The sequence below is a fragment of the Homo sapiens genome, chromosome 5 (genome assembly GCF_000001405.40).
Source record: "Homo sapiens chromosome 5, GRCh38.p14 Primary Assembly".
NCBI lineage: Eukaryota > Metazoa > Chordata > Mammalia > Primates > Hominidae > Homo > Homo sapiens.
The window spans coordinates 36,712,810-36,728,056 of NC_000005.10; the positions used below are offsets into that span (position 1 = coordinate 36,712,810).

Sequence of the window (15,247 nt, forward strand, 5' to 3'; positions counted from 1 at the left end):
TCACGTTGTAGAATTGGGTCACAAGGAAGCTCTTGGGTCACCCAAGATTAGGAAACCACCACGTCCTAAACCATAGACTGCCAAAGTCAGGAAGCCACCATAGTGTGGAAGTTTTCATGGATAGAAACTGCCTCCACGTCATAGCAGACATGCTTTAATCCTCACCTGCAGAAGGAGATCTCTGTGACTCACCTCTTGACATGAACAAACTTCTGCTAACACTGCCATAGAAAATGCAAATGCCTCCACAAGCAATTCCAAAAGAAAAAGCAGACACAGAAAAAGCATGGCTTCTGCCTCATTTCTGCCTTCCTCACCTTGCACCAGTGCAACATAATGGCTGGATTTAAATCACATCCAGAATCCTGAGGGCGGGGGTGTGCAGGAAATGTGGTGTTTGGTTCTCCAGCCTCGGCAGTGCAGGAAGGCATATTAGAAGGCAAGTGAAGTGGACACTGGGGGCAGATCTACTAAACCCATCACAAGCGCCAAATACTGAGTTCTAGTCTTAAGCTCCGACAAAGAACCCACGTAGATGTAACTCTGTTTGCAATCAATGTGTCCACAGCTTATATCTCTTTATATTCCCCACATAACTGGTATAATCCCTTGACAGTTACATGTAAATTGTAAGTTCCAATTGATTGCATGATTGGTTTAGAATATGTTATAACAAGAAAGCCTTTTTTTTTCTGACTATTGACAGGATCCCAGAGGGGCTTCCGAATCATCTAAGTAACAGTAAATTATATTTGGTAGCATCACAGTTTGAAGTACACTGTGCAATATACTCATTTCTGGAAACTGATATAGGGAACAAAAACATCCCTTTTTTCCATTCACTTCAGAAAACAGAGAGTTTACTGTCTTAAGGAAAGGCACTTTCATGGCCTCTTGCCTTGAAGTCAATAATGTGCTATACCCAAGAGTCCCAGTGGGGACGAACAGTCTATCTTCTCCAAGATACCCTTTCTTATCTTGCATTCGGCTGTCTTGAAACTCCTAAGTCTCTGGAGTAATCATTCTGCCTAAGACAGAGTACATCTTTGTGAGTATTTCCCAGAGGAAAAAATGACCCAGAGAACTATGGCCCCCTCCTTCAAAGTCTGCTCTGAGCACCAAAATCTATTTGGATTATTTAAGTATCCAATTCACACAGTGTGCCAAGTATTGGGCAGAATCTACACCTTGCACAGCCCAGCTGCCTGCTCAGAATTTGGGAGATCAAAGGTCATCCTGTTCATCCCCCTGCCTTCAGTCAGGACTATGCCAAATCATTTCTAGCCAACAAGAAACCAATTGTGACTTGGGAATAACATGAGACACTAAATAGCCATTTTCTTCTCCTTAAACCAAGTATCCCTTGTTAGTTTCTTTCTTTTCTTTTCTTTCCTTTTTTTTTTTTTTTTTTTTTTTGAGACAGAGTCTCACTCTGTCACCCAGGCTGGAGTGCAGTGGTGCAATCTTGGCTCACTGCAACCTCCACCCCCTGAGGTTTAAGCAGTTCTCCTGCCTCGGCCTCCCCAGGAGCTGGGATTACAGGTATGTGCCACCACGCCCGGCTAATTTTTGTATTTTTAGTAGAGATGGGGTTCCACCATGTTGCCCAGGCTGGTCTTGAATTCCTGACCTCAGGTGATCTGCCTGCCTTGGCCTACCAAAGTGCTGGGATTAAATACGTGAGCCACCACACCTGGCCCCTTGTTAGTTTCTAAACCATTGATTGAAGAAAACTAGCTAAGGAAGGTGAAAAAGTTTAGTTTCAGAATCCCCAAGGAGATCTTGCCAAGGCCCACACAGGCCCAGGTAAAGGATATTTCACTGACTATTGTGTCTTGCTCAAAAAAATCTAAGGACTTAGGAGGCAGCACAAGGCTGGTGATGTGGCACACATTGAAGGAAGCGACCAAATCTCTCTCTAAATACAAAAGAGAAAAGAAATAAAGTGGAGGTAATTATTTTAGTAATTCAACAGCTCCCCTCCTGAATTACTGGAATAATTGCCCTATCTTTAGTGGAGATTGGATTGTATGCTTAGTAGCGGCTCTAGGCCTGGATCCTAACCGTGGTCTTCAGGGTAGGGTAGTCTTCCAGTCCTCCACTGCTACTGCAAACTTTATGCTCCTTGGCAATGTGAGTACAACCCTCCCCATTTTCATTCCTTAAACACACTCATATCCCCTCCTGTTTAACCCTAAATTCTCAGGGCTTGTCCATCAAGTAGAACCAGGCCATGGAGGGTATTGGCTAGAACAGAGGTTATGGCTCCATAGGAAGGTGTTTAATGTGGCATTATTTTTCAATGGAACCATGGACAGTCAGATGCCATTTTTAATCCTTTATAAGAAGTCAGCAAAGGAGTAAGAACAACTCCCCAGAATCTCTTGCTAGAATCCTGTCTGGCCCTCAAGGCAATCTCAGCTCTGTCTTGAGGCTTTGTGGCACCCGTCATTGTCTCCCAACTCCTTCCCCCAACATGCACCAATGAAGGCTTCCGCATGTTCTTGCCTTTCTGACCTAAGTTGTGCCTTGCACTCTCCCTCTTATCCCTGTCCTACCCCAGCACACATACACACATGCACACACATGCATGCATACGCACACAATCTTTTGCCCCCACCCCCACGCACACACCCCACACACTGATCTTTTGCCATGACCCCAGTGGTCATAAATAACAGCAGCTTGGAGCTTATATGGGTTCCAGTTGTGGGACCATTTCTGAACTATTGGTCAAGCTCTATGCCTCAATTTTTTTTTTTTTTTTTTTTTTTGAGACGGAGTCTCGCTCTGTCGCCCAGGCTGGAGTGCAATGGCGCTATCTCAGCTCACTGCAACCTCCACCTCCCAGGTTCACGCCATTCTCCTGCCTCAGCCTCCTGAGTAGCTGGGACTACAGGCACCCGCCACCACGCCCAGCTAATTTTTTTGTATTTTTAGTAGAGATGGGGTTTCACCATGTTAGCCAGGATGGTCTCGATCTCCTGACCTCATGATCTGCCCATCTCAGCCTCGCAAAGTGCTGGGATTACAGGCATGAGCCACCGCGCCCGGCCATGCCTCAATTTTTTAATCTCTAAAATGAGGATAACAAAACATCTATTACAAAGAGTTGTTTTTGAGGTACTAGAAAAAATGCCTGGTGCAACACATACTAGCTCTTATTATTATGGGACATGGTGTCTGCGATGGTGTGTGCTGACCATGCCCATAGCTCCCTTCAGAGAAAAGCGATCACAGGTAGACCTTTCTTAAGATGCCATAGCTAATGTTCACTGAATTAAAGGTGAGGACCCAAGCCAAAGGGAGCCACATACAAGTAAACAGAAAATCAGTAAGGCCAGTTGCCAAGGAGAAAACTCTGCTTCAGATGCTACCCAATGGGGGCCACCATTCAATATGGAGTGCCCTGATAGAACTTCTCTCTTAAAATTTTTGAATATAAAAGCTCTCAGAAAATAAAACAAGAGAGGCCTGCTTGGAAAGAGATGAAAAGATGACCAGATCACTAGCAGGGCCATCATACTCTGAACGGCAATGATTCACTGAGTTATCCATGAAACCCACTGTGTACATTTAAGCCTGGAAAGCAAAGGATCCAGGGACAGCATAGATGCTGAGATAATTTCCCACATTTCTTTCCTTCTGATGTATCTTTTTCTCAAAACCTATCCCTAAGCAGTGATTTTCAAACTTTAGTGTTAATAGGAACCTGTGAGATTTGTGAAGATGTAGATTCCTGGGTGCTCCCACTAGAGATTCTGATTCAGGAGAACTGGGATGGGGCCTCAGATAGGGTCACTATTTGTGGCTACACAACTTACTCACTGCGTTCCTCCAGGAAGCACATTCATACTGACTGTGATGTGAATGCCTCCTGGGAGTCGTGCAGTACACAAGCTGCCCCACTGAATGTGGCAGCCAGGAGTAACTCATATAAGTGGCTCCAGTCTCACAGTAAGAAAGAGTGAAGGTAACCTGGATACCTTGTCATCTAAAAGAATTCGGGGTCAGGCATGGTGGCTCATGCCTGTAATCCCAGCACTTTGAGAGGCCAAGGCAGGCAGATCACTTGAGGTCAGGAATTCGAGACCAGCCTAGCCAACACGGTGAAACCTCGTCTCTACTAAAAATACAAAAATTTAGCTGGGCGTGGTGGCAGGCGCCTGTAGTCCCAGCTGCTTGGGAGGCTGAGGCACAAGAATCGCTTGAATCCTGGAGGCGGAGGTTGCAGTGAGCCAAGATCATGTCATTGCATTCCAGCCTGGACGACAGAGTGAGACCTTGTCTCAAAAAAATAAAATAAATAAATAAATAATAAAAGAATTTGGTGAATACTAGTCCCCTGCTGACCCATTGCAGGCCCTAGTCACCACTCATAACCATACAGTATCTACAGCTGGCAAGGACTTCAGTAGAAAGGGAAAAGGTTAGGCAGAGAAAGGACCAGCACATTTGTATTTCATTATATACAGAAAGTTTCAATAAGAGGCTTAGAGTTTAGTCTAAATATATGTCCCTTCTGAGTGCTACTGGCTGTGAAGCAATCGGAATGAAACCAAATACAAAGAGTGCAGAATGAATCGCTGCTGAAAATCTTACAACACCCTGAGGCACTGGCATTGTGCTCCCTGCTCCCTGCCTCTCATTAAAAATACTGCTTTCCAAGCCCCATTAATTGGGAGGGTCTCAATATAGTTAGGGAGTAGGAAGACTCCACAGGCCTTTGAAAAGATAATTGTGCATAGAGAGAAAGGATTTATCATCTACCAAGTGAGCGCAAGTCAACAGGTTTTTGCAGAGCACTGTTAGGGGTTGATAGGATAAAACGGAATTTAAAGACTCCATCCCCAGCTACCCAAAGAAACTGATGTCTTTCATGGGGAAGCGGGACACAATTAAAACACAGAAACACATTGAAGGACAAGGAAGAGATATGTCACGAAGTGCCAAGTTACTGAGCCTGTACATGCAATTAGAGTTCAGAAAACCAAGAGAACAGTGAGGCTTCCCAAAGCCACATGGAAGCAATTGAAGAATATTCCAGTGGCTACTTTTGTAAAAGGTTTGAAAGGAGAAGCAGACTTGCTCACTTTTCTGCTGACAGAGCCCTGTGCTGGATGTCGCTTATGTCCATTTCATGTTCTCTGGACCTCACATTTTACTCCAGTTTTCCTGAGTACACCTCACTTCTGCTGCATGATTGACAGGGGCTTCTCAGACGCCTGGCCTGGGACATCTATGAGAATCACCCAGCACTTGTGCGAATCTGGCAGTGTGAGGGAGTTAACACCTGGAGTTGATCCTTGACCAGCCAAGGATGGGAGCTTGTGGATGCCTGTCCCCATCGTGTCCCTTGAGTAGGCAATCATGAGATTCATTCTTCATGGCTGTCAGAGAGTCCCAGGAGGATCAGGCTCCAGTTTCCCACAACTGCCACCAAATTTGATCATACAACTTTGTAGGTACTGATTTGCCTTCTTTCTTTCTTTCCCCCTTCCCAGTCCCCTACTCCAGTTCCCTGAAATCACTTCTGAAAATAAGCTACTTGCACACAAACCCTTGTGTCAGGCTCTGCTTCCTGGAAGGACTTCAGGGGCTATGACAAGCCCCTGGGAAGATGATGAGTTCTGTTTTTGAGAACTCGAATATTTTCTCAGTTTGCAGTGAACTCTGACACAGGGCTTCTCCCCAAGCAGTTTGCCCTCTAGGAACGTGTAAACCAAAATGTACTATATGCTTGACTTAGAGGTTTAACCAGAAATGAGATTATATTTTAGGAAGGCTCAGGATATGAGGACAAGGAGCAGAAAGGAGCATTTTCTATTTCCTAAGTCCCTATGATGGGCCAGTACTGTGCCATATGTATTTGTATTTTATTAATGATTATGTAAACCTAATTAGGTAAGTAGAATGATCTCTCTTTTGGAGAGGAGAAAACTATGGCTCAGAGGGGGCAAGAAGTGACAAAAATTACACGCTGAAATCAGGTCTAGGGACTCCAGAGCCCACATCTGGCTCATTTCCCTGATGCTGTCTCCCACACACTATTCATTCGCGGGGTTAGGCACATCTCTCAAGTGTGTCAATGGTCTTCAGTAATTTTTTTCAAGTGTTGAACTAGAAATCAGTGATCTGCAGCAATTAGTTGGCATTTTAATCTCTCCAGGTTGAGGGATAGAGTTGGCCCCTTAAAAGAGCGTGAACGACCAGAACGCTAGAAAGCTGCTTATATCTGCCTGCTACACCGAGAAACTGAAAGCCAGCTTCAGCTTTGCTCTGAGAAATACAGGGCAGCTGTCTAGCTGGTGTATAACACAGAACTTGTGTCATGCCTATCATAGCGCTGGGCTCAATGCTGAGCACACAGTAAGTGCACAAGAAACATTTGCCAAATTATCTAAAAGCTCTGAGAGCCACAGCTCCATTTTCTTTGTGTTGTAGCTCACAAAACACATTTCTATGCTGTCTATGCTGTGCGCCATTCATACCTTTTACATGTGGACCCCCAGAATAGTAAGGACCTAAATACATTTATTAAAGCCACACAATAGCATCTTGAGTCTGAGAATCCTCTTGTGCTCACATAGCTCCTGGAGCATTATAACTCACAGCTTTTTGAGTTGTCACTCTATCTTGCTCTTGCACAACGAGCTGGATCCCTGCTGCCTCATGTCATCATCCTCTGTACTTTTCCTGATTCTGTGTTTATTTACAAATTGGCTGATTCCAGTTGTTTCTTATTGACTTACAAGTCAACACAGAAAAAACAATTCAAGTGCAGGGTATTGAAAGCCTAGATATACATTCTCACACTGTTTTCTTTGGTCACAGTGACCATGTCACATCTCTGAGACCATCTACCCTCACTTTGCATCTCCCAACCTTGGAGAAGAAAGAATCAGAAATATTTAAGCCTTCTGCAGTGGACATGCCACATCCATGTGTTCATTTACATTTGCTGAGATAGAACTACCTGATTTGTATGCAATGAAAAGTAGGGACTTTAATAACTGATATCAATTTTATTGAGCACTAGGTTGCCATGGAGTTGGGACTCTAAGCAACGTTTCCTAAACTGCGGCCCTTCAACCAGCTGCATCTGAATTTCCTGGAATGTTGTGAAAAATACAGATTCCTAGCCTCCATCCCTGATTATTAGTTCAGAATTTTGTTCGGTTTTGTTGTTTACAAGCCAATTGACTGCTAACCAAGAGATTCTTGTCACAGTAAAGCTTGAGACTCCCTAGGTCTATGGAGACCTGCAAGGCCCTATGTGGCCAAGCACAGATTTCATTGGTGCACATCGCCTCTACCTTGTCCACTTCGGAACTCTCACCCAGCTCTGGCACTGTGTCAGCTAATCCTTCTTCATTATATGAATTTGTCAATGTATTGGTGGAGGTGAAAAGAAATGAAGAAGAAATATTCAAGAAATCACAATCCAAAAAGTTCACTGATGGACTATGAGAAGGAAATTGACCCAAAAATAGACTATGACAGTAAGTCACTGTAAACACATCATGCCTTCCAGCTATTTTCCACATCTGTGTTTGGCTCTCAGAAACTTCCCAGCAGGTACCCCATTTTGGTTCCAAAACCACGGTTATCCAATTTTACTCTGGAAGCAAGGAAGAGTTAACCTAATTTTCTAATTTCCATTGAGAATGTAGGAGAAATTTGGCTTCGTATAAAAGCTGTATGTTGTATAAATAATAATAACTCCTTATGTTTGCAAAGTAATTTATGGTTTCAAACATCATTTAAGGACAGTGTCTTATTTAAACTTTTCATTGTTGAAGATACCAAAATTATAATTTGGTATCTACTAAGGTAAACAGCAAGCCAAGATTTGATTACTTCCCCCAAGTAATTTCTGTCAAACACACAGAGGTCTTAAAAACCAAATCAGAAGAAATTCTTCAGCGAGGGCGTGAGAAACATGCAAATGCTGACTCACAGACAGTTTCGTGAGATACTTCTAATCTTCACATATATAGTTGACAGCAAAAAAAAAAAAAAAAAATCATGATTTGCCAAAATGAAAATTAGCTTCTCTGAGTCACTGTGTTTGAGTGTATAAATTTTGTTAATAAAAGTACCTGCTATGGATTTGGTTCTAGGAGACATATCATGTCTTAAATCACTTCCTGAATTTATGCAAATCCGCCTGCCAAAGAAAGGTTCACTCTCAGACATAATGCTTTTGACCACAAATAAAGTCTCTGCCATCTGTTTTCACACTAGGAAAATGCTATTTGGATTCAGTGATGAAATAAAAAATCCTATTCACATAAATCCAGGTCTTGTTCTCTTACCCTGGGATACCTCCTGCTAAAATTACAAGAAAAGGGACTTTGTTAATTAAAGTGATGAAGTATGAACATATGTTGTTCAAGAATAGCAATACCTCCACCTGCATCTCCAAATTATTAATATTCATATAGCCCTTGGTTTTTATTTGTTTATCGGAAATAAGAGCTCTTCATAACCAGGGCTTCAGATATCATCATTTTATCGGCACCAAAATACCTGAGGGAGGAGGTGTCTTTATTTTTATAGCTCCTTTTAGCTTTGTGCACCAAATACTTCAAGGATATTTATCACTGCTGAGTATCTTTTTGAAATAAGAAAACATAAGCAGATTAGGACACTAAAGAACTAGAGAAGGGAATTTAAGTTTGGGTAGACAAAAGAAATATTATCATGGTTGAGAAAGGTGGATTCTGGGTCCCTAAATCTCACCCCATTGATGACCTCTGCTCCAGGCACAGAGGAGGACATGACTTAAGGGAAAATGCATGGTCAGCACAGGCTGGAGTTTCAGTCCCAAACTTGTAGCCCCACCCTGGGGAGCTTGGGAGGCCCCCTTTTCCTCTGAGCACCAGAGCTAGAGTGAAGGCAGGTGGAATATCCTGTTACCTGGCTAATTACTCCCAGGCCCCACCATGTTCCTGATGGGCTCATCTTGCTATTTTCTCTCCAGAAGAGGAAGTATGAGGTTGTGTGAAAATGTGAGCATGTGTGTCCCCTAAGATACCTTTCCACGCTTCTTTCCCCTTGCCCCAGCCAAAAGGTCATCCAAGGAAGTTGGGGGATAATCAGGCCCAGAGGTGCCCTGGACCAGACGTCCCATGATCTAGCATACGCAAAGGAAGACGCTAAGAAAGTACACATGGAGAAGACGAGGGATACAGGGTGTTTCTTTCCAATCTCTCTGCTTCTTCCAGCAAAAGCCCCACCCTCTAGCCCTCAAGCCTGCTGGCCTCATGGAGTGTAACTAATCCACAGCAGCATCCCTCCTTCTGGGGACACAGTGTTGGGTAAGGAAGTGTAGGGGAGCCAGAGTCTTTGAAACCTTATCAGCCTAAAATCTCAGGGTTACACACAAGTCAGAGGCACTTTCTGTCACCCCTCCTTCTGACCCTGGTCCCACCATTCTCTCAGGTGGAACGCTCCCACCATGCTCTCCCCCTCTATGTCCCACATTAGTCCAAATGTTTCCTTCACGTCATCTCTCATGTCTATAGCTTTCCACATTCGCAGATTCCACCCTAATTCACATACCAAGATTATTACCAGAGACTCTGTTACTGGATTCCTTGACTTTCCCATCAATTATTCTATCTCTCTCCTTCCAAATGACTATCCCTAAGTATCATTGTCTTTGTGCCAAGCTTAGGTACCAACCTTCTGTAGTTCTCATAACCTACAGATTATGATGCAAGGAACTATTAATAGCACAGATTCTGGAGCCAGTCTCCTGGAGCTCCAATCCTGGTTCTGCCACTTATTAACTCTGTTACTTTAGGCAAGTTACTTAACCTCTCTGTGCTTCAGCGTCCACCTCCTAAAATAAGATAAGATAGTAAATACCCCATAGGATTGATCCGAGGATTAAACAAGTTAATACAGAAGTGTCTAAGCAACCAGGAACTGGTAGCTATTATCACTCTTGTTACCGAATGTGGTCCCAACTTCTCAGCCCGGCATCTATTGGTGCATACAGTCAGTACTCTGAAACTACACTCTTGAAATTGTAGATGCTATCCTAGGGGTCGCTAGTAGCTTCTAAAACAAATTAGAAGCCCACTTAAGGTGATAGTCATGGTGGCCAATGAGTCATTCTCTGCTCTCACAGAGTAAAGATTTAATTTGAACTAAGAACCTTAGAAGAAATACAGAAAGCGGGCGAGGAGAGGTGGTTTTTCCCCTCTGCTGTTCCTGGGGACACATGTGATGCTCTGAGAAGGCAGAAGGGAAGATTCGAGCTGATTATAATCTAATGAGGCTGCCAAATCAGTTTCACTTTCCAATACCACATAAGGACTGGTGAGTCTCATGGGCCCTGAGCCAGGATTATTTTAACTGGTAGCATTAGCTGGGTCAGACCGATCAGCCTCTATGGGGAATACTTTGGGAACTGTCATCTTCCAAGCCAGCGCAAGAACAGCCTCTGCCACTGAACTGATGGTGATACACACGGTATTTGGAGGGCAAATCTGATTCACATGCAGTAGCAGGAGATGGAAGAGTGGTTAAAATGAAAGGGAGAGGAGAAGAAGAGCAAGGGACGAGCATAATACAGGGAAAGAAGAATAATACAGGTAGAATAGGAATTACATAGAAGGGAGAAGATCATTTTTTAAAAAAAATAAGGGCCAGGCATGGCAGCCTATAATGGTAGGCAGCACTTTGGGAGGCCATGGCTGGAGGACAGCTTGAGGTCAGGAGTTTGAAATCAGCCTGGGCAACATAGCAAGACCCCCATCTTGACAAAAAATACAAAAGTTAGCCAGATGTGGTGGAACACACCTGTAGTCTCAGCTACTCAGGAGGCCGAGGCAGGAGGATCACTTGAGTCCAAGGGTTTGAGGCTGCAGTGAGCTATGATCATGCCACTGCACTCCAACCTGGGTGACAGAGACCTTGTCTCTAAAAAGTAAAGAAATGAAATAGAAAATAAAAACGAATGGTAGAAATAAAAGGAACTGAGTAGTAGGGGGCAGAGGCATGTCTAGGGGAGAGAACTAGAACTGCCAAGGGATTTGAGTGCCTGATGGATTCTGAAGACTGAAATATACATGACCCCAAAAAGCAATGTCATTTGTAAATATTTGTTAATGAGTTTAGTGAAGTGCTACATGGAGGAATGATCTAGCCAATGAGAACAATGTGCACCAGCCAGTTGGATTCTTGAAGCTGCAGAGACTTCATCTTCAGCCACAGCAGGTGGCTGAGGGCTAGAGTTACTTGGGACTTTCCCCAATGCTCTAGTTCCTTCTATCTCTTGGAAACAAGTCTGGCTCAATATGTTCAGCAGCCCCATTGATGTTGCCCAGAGGAAGTGTGGATCAGGGCTCGCTGACCCCAAGGTTAGCAGCAGAAGAGCAGGGCCTCTGCCTCCCCAGCCAGGAAGCCCACAGTCTTGGCCACATGAATGAAGGAGGTCTTGGCAGCATCTGACACACCTCGGGGTAATGATTTAGCCACCCCAAATTACCGTGTCTCCACAAAATAGTCACTTGGGGCCACACTACATTGTGGAGAGATAATGAAAGAGCTTCTATTTTTGAGCTATCTTTTCCTCATATGCGAATAATTTCACACACAAAAAAATGAGAAAACCACTTCTCTCTGTCACCTACAGAATCAGGAACAGGGATCAGATTATCTTTTAGATACCCGCCCCAAAAAGAAATAAAAATCAAGAAAACATGGGTAAATACCATGGTGGACATTTAAATGAAGCTGAGAAAGAAAGCTTTCTCTATTTAGAGAAGAATTCAAAATGGATGGCAGGAGATTTGTTGAAAATAAGGAAGAGGGAGGGAAAGGTTAGTAAATAATAGGTCAAATCTTCAGCCTAGAGGGCACTACTAAGTTTTCTTTTGTTCCCCCTTAGGTTTCCTGGTGTAGCAGTGCAGTTGCAACGTAGTTTTGTTTTTTGGGTTTCTTTAAACCTAGAGTGGTAAGAGGGACTTGGTGGCGATGGACTGCCATGGGTCGGTTCCTTAGAGGGCTCTTGAGTTTTTCCCACCTGTCTCCAACTCCAGGGCCACCACTCTAATAAAGCCACTGCCATCTCTGACCAGCTCCCCTGCTGTGGCTTTCACTCTTGCTCTCTTTACAGCCCATTCCACACAGCAGCAGCCAGCATGGCACTTCCCGTTCTGGGCCCCTCCCACTGACTGCACCCTGTGCTTGTCCTTCATAGTGTGTAAAGATCTGTATGTGGGGTGATTTGACTAACGGTTCTCTCCCCTTAAGTATAAGTAAACCTATGAGGGCAAGGACTGCTTACCTTAGCATCCTTGGTTCCTGGTAGGATGCCCATCCCATAACAGGCTGGAGCTCCTGGGTGTGTGGGAGGGAGTAGGAAGGAAGCAACAGCTGCCAATCAAAGGCCCATTTGGGCATGTGACCCTTAGCTAGCCAATCAGAATCCTTTCCAGGGTTGTAGCAGTTGAAGCTGTGAGCAGCTCAGTTGGTTGGGTTGTCTGTCTTGTCTTGGCTTGGATTCTCCCAGAAGGAGATCCTGAGTCAATGATTCGGGTGCAAGTAGATTTCTTCTGGGAGCCTTTCTTTAATAAAGCACTTGCACCTGAGTCATTGACTCAGGATCTATTTCAGGATCTCCTTCTTGAGGGAGAGGGCGAAACAGGATCCAGAAGAAGCAAAGCAATGGAGCAGGCATGGCATCAGGAAGAGGACAGGGAGGCTGCCGTAAGCCCAGCAGGCTCCCTTTCAGGCTGTTAAGGAGGGGGATGAGTACGAACATGAAGGTGGCCCAAGTAGCTCTAAGGTCCCTTCTCTCATCTCCTGTCCTTACCGGGGGCCGTAGGCTCTAGATAAAACGCTGCCCCACCACCCGCCAGGGCTTTTGTTTTGGCTCACCTTTCATCCGCCTTCTCAGACTCTGTCTGCCTTGGCTTCCCTCAGCTGAACCCAGGGAATTTGCATTTTGCTATTTTCCATCTGCACTGGGTAGCCTGGCTCCAGATGTTTGGGGCAGCAAATGCAGAAATTCCAGGCAAACGGATCTGATCATTCTCTGCTTGGCTCCACTCGCTGCATCCCAAGCACCAGATGCCTCACTGGTGTCTGCCTACCTTCCTGGGAGGCAGATCCACCGCTCATAAGATAGAGCCCAACGACAAGACCCTGTACTTATGGAGGCCTTTTATTTAACAACTCATTTCATTGAAGGAAAAATCTAGAATCTACTAAGACCTCCTGATATTTTTTAATTAACTAGAAATTGTGGATGTATCCCTCAATATTTTCATCTAAAGTGGTTGAAATGATAATGGAGGGGAAACTGTGTTTTAAAAGCGTGTTACTCCATTTCTTTCATTCACCTCCATCAATGATAATATGAGTTATCACTCTTAATATTAACCACGTGGCAGGCTTCATGCATTCTCACATACATTTCACCCTAAGGCCTGGAGAAGATAATTTCACCAAAGTCACACAGGTAGTACATGGAAAGGTGTAAATTTGAACCTGGATCTTACTGCAAACCCATACTCTTAACTGCTTCATTCAACTTTTGCCAGCAATCATTTGTCATAGACTAAATGCCAGAACCTAAGCCCAAGATTTTGCAGTATACAGAGGAGAAACTGGATGTCTTTTGAAATGCTTCAGAATGGTTTCTATAGTACATATCTGAGCAGCACTCCATGACCAAAGGATGCCAAATCCTTTGCCCCTTGTATTACACTTCATTCATTAGTTCATTCATTCATTCAACAAATGCTTATAAAGCACTCCTGTAAGGCATTATTCTAGGCACTGAGTGTTTGTTATTGAACAAAAAGGACAAAAAATACCTCACTATTCTCAGAGTTTACATTCAGGGATGCAAGAAGGAGCGTGAAACAGGAGATAGGCAATAAACATTAAAAAATTAAGAAAATTTTGTAATATGTTAAGAGGTGATCACTATGGAGAGAAAAAGCAAAGTAAGTGAAATCAGAAGTGCAATTTAAATTAGGGTGGTCAAGTCAGGACTCCCTACGAAGTTGACTTTTGAGCAGAGTGCAGGAGGTGAGGGAGTGAGGCATGTGGCTATCTTGAGGAAGAGTGGTCCAAGCAGAGAGAACAGCCAGTGCAAAGGCCCTGAGGCCCATCCAAGGAACAGTGATAAGACTGGTGTGGCTAGAAGTGAGGGTAATAAGAGACAATGACACAGAAGTAACAGTAGCCAAAAGGCCAGAAATAAGAGGCACTATTTTTATGTCTTGGTCTCTTGAAGGATCAGTAATGTGGTGGTTTCCCCAACACCTGCTAAGCCCTCAAGGTCTTTATATATGCACCATTTTCAGGATTCCAAATGAAAAGAACAGTATGGTCCCGATGGTACCAACGGAGTAGCTTCAGCTGCTCATAGAGCTATTCCTATCCCATTCACCCCACTCCAACACCCACACTCCTCAATTCAGTCTTTCAAGAAGCTGGGGTGACCAGAAACCAGAAGAGGCAAAATTTCCCACCCGTCAGGCCATCTGCAGCTGCCACCTCTGCATGCCTTTCTTCCCCACAGAGCCTGAGACCCTCATTCCTTCCCTGAGAAAGTGCCCTCCAGAGTCTACTTACCCTCCTAAGAACAGCGTATCAGTGAGTGAAAAAATTGGTTTCGCAAAATTTTTTTACAAAGTACTTTATCCAAGTAAGGGAGGCTGAATTTCCACTGAGAGCTAACGTCACTAGTCAGAACAGTAGCAAAATGTACCAAATCTTAGGGACAGGCTAGCACATAATGAGCAAATGAGTAAGAAATCAGGGGCCTTGGCCGGGGGCGGTGGCTCACACCTGTAATCCCAGCACTTTGGGAGGATGAGGCGGGCGGATCACGAGGTCAGGAGATCGAGACCATTCTGGCTAACACGGTGAAACCCCGTCTCTATTAAAAATACCAAAAAAAAATTAGCCGGGAGTGATGGAGGGCACCTGTAGTCCCAGCTATTCGGAGAGGCTGAGGCAGGAGAATGGCGTGAACCCGCGAGGCGGAGCTTGCAGTGAGCCGAAATCGCGCCACTGCAATCCAGCCTGGGCGACAGAGTGAGACTCTGTCTCAAAAAAAAAAAAAGTCAGGGGCCAAGGGCAATACCTAGTGAGGCGCAAGTTTGGGTTGGGTCTAGTGGTATGAGGGCAGTCTCCTTGGGAATCTGAACTTGTGCCAGAGGACGGGCTCCTGTTGTTTAAGGGCTCTGTACCAGGCTGGACAGATGTGGCTGTA

At 44.4% G+C, this 15,247-nt stretch overlaps 1 long non-coding RNA gene across 2 annotated transcripts in view, besides 3 other annotated features; it reads right to left on the reverse strand.

Annotated features, from left to right (window-relative positions):
• SLC1A3-AS1 (SLC1A3 antisense RNA 1) overlaps positions 1–12,379 on the reverse strand; it is a 59,294-nt gene extending 46,915 nt beyond the window's left edge. For both annotated transcript variants that reach the window (XR_007058736.1, XR_001742638.2), the window contains exon 1: positions 12,305–12,379. This is a non-coding gene — a long non-coding RNA (SLC1A3 antisense RNA 1). The remainder of the gene's footprint in view (positions 1–12,304) is intronic.
• Positions 10,957–11,006: an enhancer, noted in NCBI's record as "active region_22481". NCBI's record gives its function as "activates an Ori minimal core promoter by ATAC-STARR-seq in GM12878 lymphoblastoid cells {active_cell/tissue: GM12878}" and the evidence as "EXISTENCE:reporter gene assay evidence [ECO:0000049][PMID:35858748]".
• Positions 11,017–11,066: an enhancer, noted in NCBI's record as "active region_22482". NCBI's record gives its function as "activates an Ori minimal core promoter by ATAC-STARR-seq in GM12878 lymphoblastoid cells {active_cell/tissue: GM12878}" and the evidence as "EXISTENCE:reporter gene assay evidence [ECO:0000049][PMID:35858748]".
• Positions 11,107–11,376: an enhancer, noted in NCBI's record as "active region_22483". NCBI's record gives its function as "activates an Ori minimal core promoter by ATAC-STARR-seq in GM12878 lymphoblastoid cells {active_cell/tissue: GM12878}" and the evidence as "EXISTENCE:reporter gene assay evidence [ECO:0000049][PMID:35858748]".
• Positions 12,380–15,247: the final 2,868 nt, after the last annotated feature.